Source organism: Homo sapiens, chromosome 15, assembly GCF_000001405.40.
Source record: "Homo sapiens chromosome 15, GRCh38.p14 Primary Assembly".
In the NCBI taxonomy this organism is placed as follows: Eukaryota; Metazoa; Chordata; class Mammalia; order Primates; family Hominidae; genus Homo; species Homo sapiens.
In genome coordinates this window covers 76,840,684-76,857,186 of record NC_000015.10, presented here as the reverse complement: position 1 = coordinate 76,857,186, position 16,503 = coordinate 76,840,684, and the positions used below count along the sequence as shown (strand labels likewise).

At 38.8% G+C, this 16,503-nt stretch overlaps 1 protein-coding gene across 28 annotated transcripts in view; it reads left to right on the top strand.

Annotated features, from left to right (window-relative positions):
• The window catches only part of SCAPER (S-phase cyclin A associated protein in the ER), a 557,437-nt gene that overhangs the window by 48,154 nt on the left and 492,780 nt on the right, over nt 1–16,503 (top strand). For 25 of the 28 annotated variants that reach the window (NR_148227.2, XR_007064448.1, XM_017022273.2 and 22 more), the window contains one exon: nt 15,256–15,453. Coding sequence is in view for 19 of the 28 variants with exons in the window: in NM_020843.4 (NP_065894.2) it covers nt 15,256–15,453 (198 nt within the window). In the remaining 9 variants the exon portion in view is untranslated. Of the gene's footprint in view, nt 1–1,310; nt 1,378–5,964; nt 6,020–6,334; nt 6,453–15,255; nt 15,454–16,503 lie in introns of all 28 variants that reach the window. The other 3 variants (NM_001353011.2, NM_001353010.2, NM_001145923.2) reach the window with 3 other exon arrangements.

The window sequence follows — 16,503 nt, the reverse complement described above, 5'->3', positions numbered from 1 at the left end:
TGCTGGGGTTATAGGCATGAACCACCACATTCAGCCCTCAGCGGTTAATTTCCACAGTTTATGCTCTTAGCTCCTCTGCTATGCCTTCAATGTTTGCCAGTTCTTTTATGATTTTCTTTCTTGATATAATGATGCCTTTAGGTTGTAGGATGGTAAAGATATTTGGACTACAAAAATTTTAAATAGCTCTAATAAAATTTTGGACAACACAAGCCTACTTTATCTTTTGAAAGTGTTTAGCATAATTATAGTTAGCTTTTTAATCCATAGTTATTTTCATATGTGTTGTTATTTTATTTTATTAATTTAATTTAATTTTTTGAGATAAGGTCTCACTGTTGCCCAGGCTGAGTACGGTGGTACAATCAGAGCTCACAGAATGACTTGACCTCCTGGGCTCAAGTAATTCTCCCACCTCAGCCTCCAGAGTGGCTGGGACCACAAGTGTACACCACTGTGCCTGGCTAACTTTTGATTTTTTGGACAATTATTTTGATATTTTTAAGTATATAGTATGTATTATGTAAAATACAATTTCATATGAGAAAAACATGGGCTTCTAATCGTGATGTCATTGTGAGTTCACAAAGAATCCCCCATCCCCACACACAAAGGCACCAATGATTTTATATACATATATATGTAAAAAAAGTTAAAAATATATACATATATGTATGTTTTTAATATATACATATAAAAATATATACTTATATGCACATATATACACATATACATGTATATATTTCTTATATATGTATATGTATTTTAACCTTTATTTTAGGTTCAGGGGTACATATGCAGGTTTGTTATATAGGTAAACTCGTTTCATGGGGGTTTGTCGTACAGATTATTTCATCACGCAGGTATGAAGCCTAGTACCCAATAGTTATTTTTCCTCTTTCTCTTTTTTCTCCCACCCTCAAGGAGGCCCCTCTGTTTGTTGTTCCCTTCTTTGTGTTCATGAGTTCTTATAATTTAGCTCTTGTAAGTGAGGACATGCAGTATTTGGTTTTCTGTTTCTGCGATAGTTTGCTAAGGATAATGGCCTCCAGCTCCATTCATGTTCCAGCAAAATACATGATCTTGTTCTTTTTTATGGCTACATAGTATTCCATCATATATATGTACCAAATTTTCTTTATCCAGTCTGTTGTTGATGGGCATTTAGGTTGATTCCATTTCTTTGCTATTGTGAATAGTGCTGCAGTGAACATTCACGTGCATGTGTCTTTATGGTAGAATGATTTATATTCCTCTGGTAATATACCCAGTAATGGGATTGCTGGGTTGAATGGTATTTCTGTTTTTAGCTCTTTGAGGAATCGCCATACTTCTTTCCATAATGGCCGAACTAATTTACACTCCCAGCAATAGCGTGTAAGTATTCTCTTATCTCCACAACCTTGCCAAGATCTGTTATTTTTTTGACTTTTTAGTAATAGCCATTCCGACTGGTGTGAAGTGGTATCTCATTGTGATTTTGACTTGCGTTTCTCTGATGAACAGTGATACTGAGCTTTTTTTCATATGCTTATCGGCTGCATGTATGACTTCTTTAGAATAGAGTTTGTGTTCTTTGCCTACTTTTTAATGGGGTTGTTTGTTTTTATCTTGTAAATTTGTTTGCATTTATTATAGATGCCAGATATTAAACCTCTGTCAGATGCATGGTTTGCAAAAATTTTCTCCCATTCTGTAAGTTGTTTACTTTTTTTTTTTTTTTTTTTTTGCTGTGCAGAAGCTCTTAAGTTTAATTAGATGCCATGTGTCAAATTTTGCTTTTGTGTCAATTGCTTTTGGTGTCTTTGTCAAGAAATCTTTGCATGTTCCTATGTCGAGGATGGTATTGCCAGTTGTCTTCCAGGATTTTTATAGTTTTGGGTTTTACATTTAAGTCTTTAATCCATCTTGAGTTGATTTTTGTATATGGTGTAAGGAAGGGAACTAGTTTCAGTCTTCTGCATATGGCTACCCAGTTATCTCAACACCATTTGTTGAATAGAGAGTCCTTTCTCCATATCTTGTTTTTGTCTTGTCAAAGATCAGATAGTTGTAGGTGTGTGGCCTTATTTTTGGGCTCTCTCTTCTGTTCCATTGATCTTTGTGTCTGTTTTTGTACCAGTACCATGCTGTTTTGGTTACTGTAGCCTTATAGCATAGTTTGAAGTTGGGTAGCATTGATGCCTCTAGGGTTTTGTTTTTTGTATTTTTTTTTGGGACGGAGTCTCGCTCTGTCACCCAGGCTGGAGTGCAGTGGTGTGATCTCGGCTCACTGCAAGCTCCATCTCCTGGGTTCAGGCCATTCTCCTACCTCAGCCTCCCAAGTAGCTGGGACTACAGGCACCTGCAACCATGCCTGGCTAATTTTTTTTTTTTTTTTTTTGTATTTTTAGTAGAGATGGGGTTTCACCATGTTAGCCAGGACAGTCTTGATCTTCTGACCTCATGATCCACCTGCCTTGGCCTCCCAAAGTGCTGGGATTACAGGTGTGAGCTACCGTGCCCGGCCATGTTTTTTTTAAAACTTAGGATTGCCTTGGCTATTTGGGCGTTTTTTTGGTTCCACATGAATTTTAAATAGTTTTTTATCATTCTGTGAAGAATGTCATTGGTAGTTTGATGGGAATAGCATTGAATCTGTAAATTGCTTTGGGCAGTATGGCTGTTTTAATGATATTGATTCTTCCTATTCATGAGCATGGGATGTTTTTCCATTTGTTTGTGTCATCTCTGATTTCTTTGAGCAGTGTTTTGTAATTCTTCTTGTGGAGATGTTTCTCCTCCCTGGTTAGCTGTATTTCTAGGTATTTTATTCTTTTTTGTCGCAATTTTGAATTGGATTGCATTCCTGATTTGACTCTCGGCTTGGCTGTTGTTGTGTATAAGAATGCTAATGACTTTTTTGTTTTTGTTTTTTTTGAGATGGAGTCTTGCTCTATTGCCAGGATGGAGTGCAGTGGCATGATCTCGGCTCACCACAACCTCCGCCTCCTGGGTTCAAGCGATTCTCCTGCCTCAGCCTCCTGAGTAGCTGGGACTACAGGTTCACGTCACCATGCCCAGCTAATTTTTGTATTTTTAGTAAAGACAAGGTTTCACCTTGTTGGCCAGGGTGGTCTCGATCTGCTGACCTCGTGATCCGCCTGCCTCGGCCTCCCAAAGTGCTGGGATTACAGGAAGAATGCTAGTGACTTTTGTGTGGTGATTTTATATCCTGAAACTTTGCTGAAGTTGTTTATCAGCTAAGGAGCTTTTGTGCTGAGACTATGGGTTTTCTAGATACATAGAATCAAGTCATCTGCAAATGGATATTTTGACTTCCTCCCTTCCTATTTGGATGCCCTTTATTTTTTTCTCTTGCCTGATGGCTCTTGCCAGGACTTCCAATACTGTATTGAATAGGAGTGGCGAGAAAAGGCATCTTTGTCTTATGCCAGTTTTCAGGGGAGATGCTTCCAGCTGTTCCCTTTTCAGTATGATGTTGGCTGTGGCTTTGTCATAGATAGCTCTTTTTATTTTGAGGTATGTTCCTTTAATATCTCATTTATTGAGAGTTTTTAACGTGAAGATATGTTGAGTTATATCGAAAGCTTTTTCTGCATCCATTGAGATAACTATGTGGTTTTTTTTTTTCTTTAGTTCTGTTTAGGTGTTGAATCACATTTATTGATTTGCCTATGCTGAAGCAACCTTGCATCCCGGGGATGAAGCCTACTTGATTTTTAATGTACTGCTGAATTTGGTTTGCATGTATTTTGTTGAGGATTTTTGTGTCAATGTTCATCAAAGATACTGGCCTGAAGTTTCTTTTCGTGTTGTGTCTCGGCCAGATTTTGGTATCAGGATGATACTGGCTTCGTAGAATGAGTTGGGGAGGAGTTCTTTCTCCTCAATTTTTTGGAATAGTTTCAGTAGGAATAGTACCAGCTTTTCTTTGTATATCTGGTAGAATTTGGCTGTGAATCCTTCTGGTCCTGGGCTTTTTTTGGTTGGTAGGCTACTTATTACTGATTCAATTTCAGAGTTTATTGTTGGTCCATTTAGAGAATCAGTTTGTTCCTGGTTCAGTCTTGGGAGGGAGTATGTGTCCAGGAATTTATCCATCTCTTCTAGGTTTTCCAGTTTGTATGCACAGAGGTGTTCATAGCGGTTTCTGATGGTTATTTTTATTTCTGTGGGGTCAGTGGTAACATGACATTTCCAATTGTGTTTATTTGGATATTCTCTCTTTTCTTCTTTATTAGTCCAGCTAGTGGCCTATCTTATTAATTTTTTCAAAGAACCGACTCCTGGATTATTGATCTTTTGAAAGGTTTTTCATGTCTTGATTTCCTTGGTTCATCTCTGATTTTGTTTATATCTTGTCTTCTGCTAGTTTTGGGGTTGATTTGCTCTTGCTTCTGTAATTCTCTTAGTTGTGATGTTAGATTGTTAATTTGAGATCTTTCCAACTTTTTGATGTGGGTGTTTAGTGCTATGAATTTCCCTCTTAACATTGCCTTAGCTGGATCCCAGAGATTCTGGTATGTTGTATCTTTTGTTCTCATTAGTTTCAAAGAACTCCTTGATTTCTGTCTTCATTTCATTATTTACTCAGAATTCATTCAAGTACATGTTGTTTAGTTTCATGTGTTGCATGGTTTTGGGTAATTTTCTTAGTTTTGACTTCCATTTTTATTACATTGTGGTCTGAAAGTGTGTTTGGTATGATTTCAGTTCTTTTTGCATTTGCTGAGGATTGTTTTATGTCCAATTATGAGGTTGATTTTAGAGTATGTGTGCCATGTGGCAATGAGAAGAATGTATATTCTGTGTTTTTGGTTGGAGAGTTCTGTAGAGATCTATCAGATCCATTTGGTACAATGTTGAGTTCAGGCCCTGAATATCCTTGTTAATTTTCTGTCTTGACGATCTAACACTGCCAGTGGAGTACTGAGGTCTTCCACTCTTATTGTGTGGGAGTCTAAGTCTCTTTGTAGGTCTCTAAGAACTTGCTTTATGAATCTAGGTGCTTCTCCTGTGTTGGGTGCATATATATTTAGTATAGTTAGGTCTTGTTGAATTGAATCTTTTATCATTATGTAATGCCCTTTTTTTTGTCTTTTTTTGATCTTTGTTGGCCCAAAGTCTGTTTTGTCTGAAGTTAGGATTGTAACCACTCCTTTTTTTCTGATTTCCATTTGCTTGGTAGATTTCCCTCCATCCCTTTATTTTGAGCCTATGCATGTCTCTATGTGTGATATGGGTCTCTTGAAGACAGCATACCATTGGGTCTTGTTTTTTTTAATCCAACTTGCCACTCTGTGCCTTTTAAGTGGGGGCATTTAGCCCATTTACATTCAAGGTTAGCAATACGTGTGAATTTGATCCTATCATGTTGTTGTTAGCTGGTTATTATGCTGGCTTGTTTGTGTGGCCGCTTTATAGTGTCCCTGATCTGTGTATTTAAGTGTGTTTTTGTATTGGTTGGTAGCAGTTCTTCCTTTCTATATTTTGTGCTGCTTTCAAGATCTCTTGTAAAGCAGGTCTGGTAGTCATAAACTCTCTCAACATTTGCTTATCTGAAAAGGACCTTATTTCTTTTTTGCTTACCAAGTTTAGTTTGGCTGGATATGAAATTCTTGGTTGAAGATTTTTTTTCTCTAAGAATGTTGGATATAGGCCCCCAGTCTCTTCTGGCTTGTAGCTGAGAGGTCTGATGTTAGCTTTATGAGGTTCCCTTTGTAGGTGACCTGCCCTTTCTCTCTATTAAAGCTACCTTCAACATTTTTTCTTTCATTTCAACCTTGGAAAATCTGATGATTACATGTCTTGGGGGTTGATCTTCTTGTGTAGAATCTTGCAGAGGTTCTCTGTATTTCCTGAATTTGACTGCTGGCCTCTCTATCAAGGTTGGGAAAGTTATCATGGATACTATCCTGAAGTATTTTTTCAAGTTGTTTGTTTTCTCCCCATCCTTTTCAGGGATGCCAGTGATTCACAGATTTGACTTCTTTACACAATCCCACAGTTCTTGGAGGTTTGTTCATTCCTTTTTCTTTATTTTTGTCAGTCTTATTTCAGAAAGCCAGCCTTCAAGTTCTGAGATTCTTTCCTCAGCTTGGTCTATTCTGTTAATACTTGTGATTGTGTTGTGAAATTCTTAGTGTGTTTTTTAGCCCTGTTAGATCTGTTAGGTTCTTTTTTATACTGGGTATTTCTTAGCTCCTGTATTGTCCTATTGTGATCTTAGTTTCCTTGGATTGGGTTTTGCCTGTCTCCTGAATCTCGATGATCTATGTTCCTATCCATATTCTCTCTTTTTTTTTCTTTTTTTTTTTTTTTTTTGAGACAGAGTCTTGCTCTTTCGCCCAGGCTGGAATACAATGGCGCAATCTCTGCTCACTGCAACCTTCACCTCCTGGGTTCAAGCGATTCTCCTGCCTCATCCTCCTGAGTAGCTGGGATTACAGGTACCCACCATCATGCCCAGCTGATTTTTGTATTTTTGTAGAGATGGTGTTTCACTGTGTTGGCCAGGCTGGTCTTGAACTCCTGACCTCAGGTGACCCTCCTTCCTTAGCCTCTCAAAGTGCTGGGATTACAGGCCCTATTCATATTCTGAATTCTATTTCTGTCATTTCAGCCAGCTCAGCCTGGTTAAGAACCCTTATTAAAGAACTGATGTGGTCATTTTAAGACATGTGACACTCTGGTCATTTGAATTACTGGAGTTCTTGCATTGGTTCTTTCTTTTCTCTGTGTGCCTTTGGGAGCCTCTTCCCAGGGAAACTCTGTGTCACTAACAGTGGGTATGCTCAGCCATGGCTGGGGTGACTGTTCTGCATTCATGAGCCATGGGCCCTGCCTAGTGAAGAGTAGGGGCAGGGGTTCCTAGGGAGGAGAGGCTGCACTCCTGTCTGTATGGTGGCTGTAGTGTGCTAAAAAAGTCCTTTAACTGCAGTGTAGTTTGAGTAATTAATAGACTTCCATTCTGGATGGTTTCATAGGACTCAAGCTTTGTGCAAGGTCTTTATTTGTTGCTGACTTCTTTTGTTTGATTTCATGGGGATGGGTATGTTAGCGATATGGTTTGGCTCTGTGTCCCCACCCAAATCTCACCTTGAATTGTAATCCCCATAATCCCCACGTGTCAAGGGTGGGACCAGGTGGAGGTAATTGGATCATAGGGGTGGTTTTCCCCATGCTGTTCTCGTGATAGTGAGTGAGTCTCATGAGACCTAATGGTTTTATAGGTGTCCAGCATTTCCCCTGCTGGCACTCACTCTGTCCTGCCACTCTGTGAAGAAGGTGCCTGTTTCTCCTTTGCCTTCCGCCATGGTTGTAAGTTTCCTGAGGGCTCTCCAGCCATATGGAACTGTGAGTCAATTAAACCTCTTTCCTTTATAAGTCACCCTGTCTCGGGTATTTCTTCATAGCAGCGTGAGAACGGACTAACACAGCAGCGTATTTTTGGTGTTGAAGCTTTGGGATGTGATCCAGTAGGTGGTGCTTAAGTGTATTGATCAGTTGATAGCTTCTTCCTTGGTCGTGTGGTTTCCTCACAGTTGTAACCTTGCTCCCTCTCAATGCTGTCAAAGTGTGGGTTCCTCTCCCATTGCCTTTAGATTGTGGCTTGACGCTCCCAGGCTGCCCACTGCAGCTCTGGGGTGATGTTTCCTCCCCAACTTGGAGCCAGCAGAGGAAGGGACTTTAGCAGTGCCATCACAGGATGGAGGGTCTGTGCTGTGGGCCCAAGCTGGGGGTTCCCTGTCTGTTGATGAACAGGAGGTGGGCGGGACCCATGGGAGACAGACTGGCCTTCTCTCCTTGGGTTGATTGCAGTTTGTCGAAGGCGTGGATAAGGCACTTTGGGTCTTCGTTTCTTTGTTAGTCTGAGGGTAGCAAGTACTGTTCCATGGCAGAGGTAGTGGTAGAGAGGCTTTTGATTGCCCCTAGGGGCTCCACCTCCAAGAAATGTGGAGCCACTGTTACTGAGGGTGTTCAGCCACTGGGATGGGGCGGCTGCACTGCTGGCATGAGCTTGGGGTTCTGTTTGTTGGGGAGCAGGGAGTTGAAGGCTCACAGGGAGGAGAGGTTGGTCTCCTCTCCATATGGTGGCTGTGATGTACTCTAAGTTTGAGTGTAGCCCTTAGGCTCTTTGTGTCCTCCCCTAGTCCAAGGGCAGGAGGGATAGCACTGTTACTGTGGCAGTGGCCAAGGGGCTGTCGTATGCCTTTGGGAGCCTCTTCTCAGGGAAACTCTGTGTCACTAACAGTGGGTATGCTCAGCCATGGCTGGGGTGACTGTTCTGCATTCATGAGCCATGGGCCCTGCCTAGTGAAGAGTAGGGGTGGGGGTTCCTAGGGAGGAGGGGCTGCACTCCTGTCTGTATGGTGGCTGTGGTGTGCTAAAAAATACTAAAAAACCAGTTGATAGATTTTAAAGTACATTTTATATTTTAAAAATTACATATTAAGATACATGAACTGACAAATTGAGTGTGTTATTTAATGTTCCTTTAGATACACATATAATAAACGATTATCTCAGAAGGGGTAGACATAAATCTTTGCCCGGGCATGGTGGCTCACGCCTATAATCCCAGCACTTTGGGAGGCCGAGGTGGGCAGATCGCGAGGTCAGGAGATCGAGACCATCCTGGCTAACACGGTGAAACCCCATCTCTACTAAAAATACAAAAAAATTAACTGGGTATGGTGGCGGGTGCCTGTAGTCCCAGCTACTTGGGAGGCTGAGGCAGGAGAATGGCGTGAACCTGGGAGGCAGAGCTTGCAGTGAACCGAACCGAGATTGCACCACTGCACTCCAGCCTGGGCGACAGAGCGAGACTCTGTGTCAAAAAAAAAAAAAAAAAAAAAAACCCCAAAAAAAACACAATGTTTTAGGCCAGGCGCGGTGGCTCACGCCTGTAATCCCAGCACTTTGGGAGGCTGAGGTGGGCAGGTCACCTGAGATTAGGAGTTCAAGACCAGCCTGGCCAGCATGGTGAAACCCCGTTTCTACAAAAATAGAAAAATTAGCCAGGCATGATGGCTGTAATCCCAGCTACTCGGGAGGCTGAGGTGGGAGAACCACTTGAACCTGGGAGGCAGAGATTGCAGTGAGCTGAGATCACGCCATTGCACTCCAGCATGGGCAACAGAGTGAGACTCCTTCTCAAAAAAAAGAAAAAAGTCTTTATTTTTGTACTTCAGATAGTTTCAAAAACCTGCTAAATACAGGGAGAGAGCTTCTTTTTAAATTTTAATTAAAAAATGTTTTTAGAGGCAGGGTCTTGCTCTGTTTCCCAGGCTGGAGTGCAGTGGCATGATCATAGCTCACTGCAGCCTTGAACTCCTGGGCTCAAGCAGTCCTTCCACCTCAGCCTCCTGAGTGGCTGGGACTACAGGTGTGTGCCACCACACCTGGTTAGCCTTTTCATTTTTTGTAGAAATAGGGTCTTGCTGTGTTGCCCAGGCTGTTCTCAAACTTGTAAGCTCAAGCAATCCTCTCATCTTGGTCCCCCAAAGTGCTGAGATTACAAGTGTGAGCCACTGCACTCGGCTGAGGAACTGCTTTAAAAATTAATTTTTGTGGGTACATAGTGGGTGTATATATTTATGGGGTACATGAGATACTTTGATACAGTCATGCAGTGTGTAATAACTGCATCGTGGAAAATGGGGTATTCATCCCCTCAAACATTTATCCTTTGTATTATAATCTAGTTACACTCTTAGTTATTTGAAACTATACAATTAAATTATATTGTATAGCCTGTTGTGTTCCCCAGTACTAGGTCTTATTCATTCTTCCCATTTTTTTTTGTATTTTTTATCCTTTTATTTGTTACTATTTATTTATTATGCTTTAAGTTCTGGGATACATGTGCACAATGTGCAGGTTTGTTACATAGGTATACATGTGCCATGGTGGTTTGCTGCACCCATTCTTTCCATTTTTTTGTACCCATTAACTATCTCCACTTCCCCCCTACTCCCCTGCTACCCTTACCAGACTTTGGTAACTATCATTCTATTTTCTCTGAGTGCAATTGATATGGTATTTAGCTACCACAAATAAGTGAGACCATGTGATGTTTGTCTTTCTGTGCCTGGCTTATTTCATTTACGTAAGGACCTCCAGTTCCATCCATATTAGTGCAAATGACAGGATCTCATTTTTTTTTTTATGGCTGAATAGCAAGCACTTCATTGTGTATATGTACATTATTTATTCATCTGATGATGGCCACTTCCTTCCAAATCTTGGCTGTTTTGAACAGTGCTGCAACAAACATGAGAGTGCAGATCTCTTTGATATTCTGATTTCTTTTCTTTTGGGTATATATACCCAGCAGTGGGTTTGCTGGATCATATGATAGCTCTATTTTTGTTTTTTTGAGGAACCTCTAAACTGTTCTCCATATTGGTTATACTAATTTACATTCCCACCAGCAGTGTACCAGGGTTCCATTTTTTCCCACATCCTCTCCATCTTTTGTTAATTGCCTGTGTTTTAGATAAAAACCATTTTAACTGGGGTGAGATGATAGCTCATTTTAGTTTTGATTTGCATTTCTCTGATGATCAGTGATACTGAGCACCTTTTCATATGCCTGTTTGCCATTTGTATGTCTTCTCTTGAGAAATGTTCATTTATATTTTTTGCCCATTTTAAAATTGGTTTATGAGATTTTTTCCTATTGAGTTGTTTTAGCTCCTTATATATTCTGGTTATTAATCCCTTGTCAGATGGGTAGTTTGCAAATATTTTCTCCCATTCTGTTGTTTGTCTCTTCACTTTGTTGATTGTTTCCTTTGCTGTGCAGAAGTTTTTTTTTTTAACTTGATGTGATCCCATTTGTACATTTTTGCATTGTTGCCTGTGCTTATGGGGTATATTGCTCAAGAAATTTTTGCCCAGACCAGTGTCCTGGAGATTTTCCCCAATGTTTTCTTGTAGCAATTTCATAGTTTGAGGTCTTAGATTTAAGTCATTGATCCATTTTGATTTGAGGTTTGTATATGGTGAGAGAAAGTCAAATTTCATTCTTCTGCATACAGATATCCGGTTTTCCCAGCACCATTTATTGAAGAGACTGTCTTTTCCCCGGTGCATGTTCCTGGCACCTTTGCTGAAAATAAGTTCACTGTAGGTGTATGATTTTTTTTTTCTGGGCTCTTTATTATGTTCCATTGATCTGTGTGTCTGTTTTTATGCCAGTACCATGCTGTTTGAGTTACTATAGTTCTTTAGTATAACTTTAATTCAGGTAATGTGATTCCTCTAGTTTTGTTCTTTTCGTGTAGGATAACCTTGGGTATTCCAGGTTTTTTGTGGTTCTGTATATATTTTAGGATTTTTTTTCTGTTTCTGTGAAGAATGTCATTGGTATTTTGATAGGGATTGTATTGAATCTATAGATTGCTTTGGATATTATGGACATTTTAATAACATTCATTCTTCCAATTCATGAACATGGAATATCTTTCTATTTTTTGGTGTCTTCTTCAATTTCTTTTATCAGTGTATTCATTGTAGAGATGTTTCACTTCTTTGGTTAATTCCTAGGTATTTAATTTTATTTGTGTCTACTGTAAATGGAATTACCATTTTTTTTTTCAGATTGTTCACTGTTAGCATGTAGAAATGCAACTGGTTTTTGTATGTTGACTTTGTATCCTGCAACTTCACTGAATTTGTTTATCAGTTCTAATAGTTTTTGGTGGAGTCTTTAGGTTTTTCTAAATATGAGATCATATTATCTGCAAACAAGGATAATTTGACTTCTTCCTTTCCAATTATTTCTTTCTCATGTCTGATTGCTCTAAGTAGGACTTCCAGTACGTACTGTTTTGAATAACAGTGGTGAAAGCAGGTATCCTTTTCATGTTCCAGATCTTAAAGGAAAGGCTTTCAGTTTTTCCACATTCAGTATGATACTAGCTGTGTGTCTGTCACATATGTCTTTTATTATGTTGGGGTATGTTCCTTCTATGCCCAGTAGTTGAGGGTTTTTATCATGAAGGGATGTTGAATTTTGTTAAATACTTTTTCAGCATGCATTGGAATGATTGTGTGATTTTTATTCATTTTGTTATATGATATCACATTGATTGATTTGCATATTGTTAAACCATCCATGCATCCCTGGGATAAGTCACACTTGGTCATGATGAATGATCTTTTTAATGTAATGTTGAAAATGTTGAACATGTTCAGTTTGCTAGTATTTTGTTGAAGATTTTTGCGTCAATGTTCATCAAAGATAGTGGCCTGTATTTTTGTTTTTTTTGATGTGTCTGTCTGATTTTGGTATCAGAATAATACTGGCCTCATAGAATGATTTTGGAAGTATTCCCTCCTCCTCTGTTTTTGGAATAGTTTGAGTAGGATTGGTACTAGTTCTTTTTTAAATGTTTGGTAAAATTTAGCAGTGAAGCCTTCAGGGCCTGAGCTTTTCTTTACTGGAAGACTTTTTGTTATGGCTTTGATCTTGTTACTTGTTATTGGTCTGTGCAGGGTTTGGATTTCTTTATGGTTCAATCTTGATAGGTGGTATGTGTCTTGGAATTTATCCATTCTCTCTAGATTTTCCAATTTATTAGCATATAGTTTCTCATAGTAGCCACAAACTATCCTTTGAATTTCTATGGTATCAGTTGTAATGTCTCCTTTTTCATCTCTAATTTTATTTATTTGGGTCTTCTCTCTTTTCTTGGAGAGCTTCTTAATCTGAGGTTGAAGATGGAGTCTGTGAACATGAAGAAAATATATGTTGAATGTCATACACGTGCATTTTTTTGGGGATAAGTCCATAGGTTTTCTCAGATTCTCAGGGGAGCCGATGAGCCTCTCAGAGAGGGATGAGTCAGAAGTCTCAATTTCTTCCTCCCTCTTTCCCTGGCCTGCCTTTTTTTTTTTTTTTTTCCTCTTTCTGTCTTTGTCTCTCAAATGTCCTTGATTAAAACACTATTACCTCATGGAATCCAATTGTGTGAAACTTCTTTTGCAAGTTTAGATTGTTTTGTCATCTATTGAGTGTCTTGGGAAGCAGTTAGACATAGTAAGCCATAGTAGTAGTATAGTTACCCGATTAAGAATTCTGGCTTCATCACTTAAGTTAATTTGAGGCTTGGGGGTATAATTTAATTTAGCTAAACCTGTTTCCTCCTCTGTAAAATGGAGATAATATTAGTACTGGTAATATAAAATTGCTTCAATGATTAAATGAAGTATATGTAAATCACTTGGTGCAATGCTTGGCACATAGCAAGTATATCATGAATGTTAGATGCTGGTGCAATTGTTATTACCACTGCTATTCTTTTTGTCAGTAGTAAGTAGAGCCCTATATTTTAAAACTCTCTACTAGTTAACCAGCCTCTATGATTTTTTTTTTTAAAGAGAGCTTCAAGGTCTCACTGTGTTGCCCTGGTCTGTTCTCAAACTCCTGGGCTCAAGTGATACTCCTGCCTCAGTCTCCTGAGTGGTTAGGACTGCATGTGTATAATACTGTGCCTGTCTAGCCTCTGTTATTTGATGTGTCTTTTCTACCTTTCTTCACAAAGTTGGCAATTATTGCCATTAGTTTATGCACATTTTTTCTACAAGCTTATTTTTTCTCCTTTTTGTCTTTCTTATGATAATCATACCTTACATTATTTGGGCACTTACTGTTTGCTAGATGCATGTCAAACGCTCTGTGAACATTGGAGCAGAAATTGAAAGATTGAGTTCTAGTTTCAGTTCTGTCATTCTTTTAACTTTGTCAGGCAATTCAGTCTGAGCCTCAGTTTTGTCATCTACAAAATAGGAATAGTAATATTTGTCCTGTCACAGCTTGTTGTGATGATTAAATGATAACTATGTTTTCAAAAACCCTTTATAAAATATATTTTCTGCCCTTCTGGAATCTTTGTAAATAAAAGCCTTGGATAGAGCAGTCACACGTAATGATAGAAACAGCTTAACCCCAAGGCATTATTGCCCGTTGTACATTATAAGAAAGGATGGTAAAATATTTGAATGATATACTTTATGATTTTAATTACTCATGATTATGAATGCTATACATATATACCACATTTTATGGATGTGTTATAAATTCATAAACAGGTAGGGATGAATGGTAGTAGTTTTGATAATTTCATAAGATTAGCGTCTGGATTCACAGGAAGCTGCTAGTCCTTTGCTGATCAATGTAGAAAAAAACTTTGGGAAGGAAGTATAATTCAGGAAACTTCCTAAGTTAATTTTAACTTTGAATGGTATATAGAAAGAAATGAGGTGGTCTGGAATATCTGGTAAAGAGCTATCAGCACTGAACCTCAGCCAACAGTCTAATGGTAAGCCAGCAGTGTAATTGTAGAGCTGTAATTAGAAGATGGTCTCCTGTGGCAATGTGACCTTGAACAACTCAGCCTCTGAACCTCAATTTATTAATCTGTAAAGTGGAGGTAATAATACATACTCTAAGAAGTGTATGAAGAGGGTCAAGAGATATGTTAAGTTGATTTATAATATACAGTTGTTCCTCAGTATCCATGGGGGATTGGTTTCATGATGTCTGTATTAGTCTGTTTTCATACTGCTGTAATGAACTGCCTGAGACTGGGTAATTTAAAAGGAAAGAGGTTTAATTGACTCACAGTTCAGCATGGTTGCGGAGGCCTCAGGAAACTCATACAATCATGGCAGAAGGCGAAGAGGAACCAAGGCACCTTCTTCACAAGGTGGCAGGAAGAACTGCCCAGCGAAGTGAGGAAGATCACCTTATAAAACCATCAGATCTTGTGAGAACTTACTATCATGAGAACAGCATGGGGGAAACTGCCCCCATGATTCAGTTACCTCCATCTGGTCTCTCCCTTTACACGTGGGGATTATGGAGATTATAATTCAAGATGAGATTTGGGTGGGGACAGAAAGCCTAACCATATCAATCTCCCATGGATATCAGAATGTTTGGATGTTCAAGTCCCTTATATAAAATGGTGTAGTATTTGCATATAACCTATGCATATCCTCCCATATACTTTAATCTTTAGATTGCTTATAATACCTAATGCAATGTAAATGTTATGTAAATAGTTGTTATACTGTATTGTTTAGAGAATAATGATAGGAAAAAAGTCCATACATGTTCAGTACAGATGCTTTTTATTTCTGGAGTAGTTTTGATTTGTAGTTGATTGAATCTTTATAAAAAATCCAGTCCCTGGAAGCCCTTTTATTTATTTATTTTCATGTTTTATTTTACTTCACCAGAGTACTGCAGTGGACTGTAAAATAACATCGTCTACGACTGGAGATAAACACTTTGATAAAAGTCCCACTAAAACAAGGCACCCTCGGAAAATTGATCTAAGAGCTCGATACTGGGCATTTCTTTTTGATAATCTTCGCCGAGCAGTAGATGAAATCTATGTAACTTGCGAATCAGATCAGAGTGTGGTCGAATGTAAGGTAAGGTTTGCTTTGAGGCCTTGTAATCCATTTGAACTCAGATTCTTGAATTTTTGCTACATGTGACTTGATCTTTTTTTTTTCTTTGAGATGGAGTTTTGCTCTGTCGCCCAGGCTGGAGTGTAGTGACGCGATCTTGGCTCATTACAACCTCTGCCTCCCAGGTTCAAGTGATTCTCCTGCCTTAGCCTCCTGAGTAGCTGGGATTACAGGCACATGCCACCACACCTGGCTAATTTTTGTATTTTTAGTAGAGACAGGGTTTTGCTGTGTTAGTCAAGCTGGTCTCGAACTCCTGACCTTAAGTGATCCACCCATCTCGGCCTCCCAAAGTGCTGTGATTATAGGCATGAGCCACTGTGCCTGGCCCTGACTGGATCATTTATCTTACTTTTTCTAGTTGTAATAAATTCTGTATGCTTTTCATTTAATTACCTCTTATGAAAAATTGTTCTTTTGATCCATACACTAACATCAGCATTATGCTTCACGTTTTCTTGATTTTGAAGATTTTTTTTGGCATTACCTAATTATATATTTTAGGTTCTGTGAAGGATTTGGTAGAAAGCTGTCTTGACACATAGTTCTGGGCAGGGAATCAAAGGGTTGGATACACACACAACATTATTTTTAAAATTCTTCTTATCTGTATTCTCCGTTGGTGCTGTAGATGGCACTAGTGAGATTTCACATTCTTTGGTTTCATGTTTAATGTCTAATTGGACATTACTCCCTTTCCATTGAGATACTTATCACTCTTCTAATTCACTTTGGTCAGGGAAAAGTGAGATTGATGGCTAACGATAAACAATCCTGGGTGGGATTGGGATGTCATTGTAAGGTGTGTTTTCTAATTTTAAATAATCTTGTGTTTGTAGTAGGATATTAAACAGACACATGGTGTAGAGTGTCTCTATCTAAAAAGCCTGGCCTTTTAGTAAGTAGAGACTTTATACCATATTACTTTTTACTGAATAAAACTATTTTGAGGAAAACCAGAGTGATACATGTTTACAGAAATATTAAAGAGATAACTTCTGTTTTTATGAT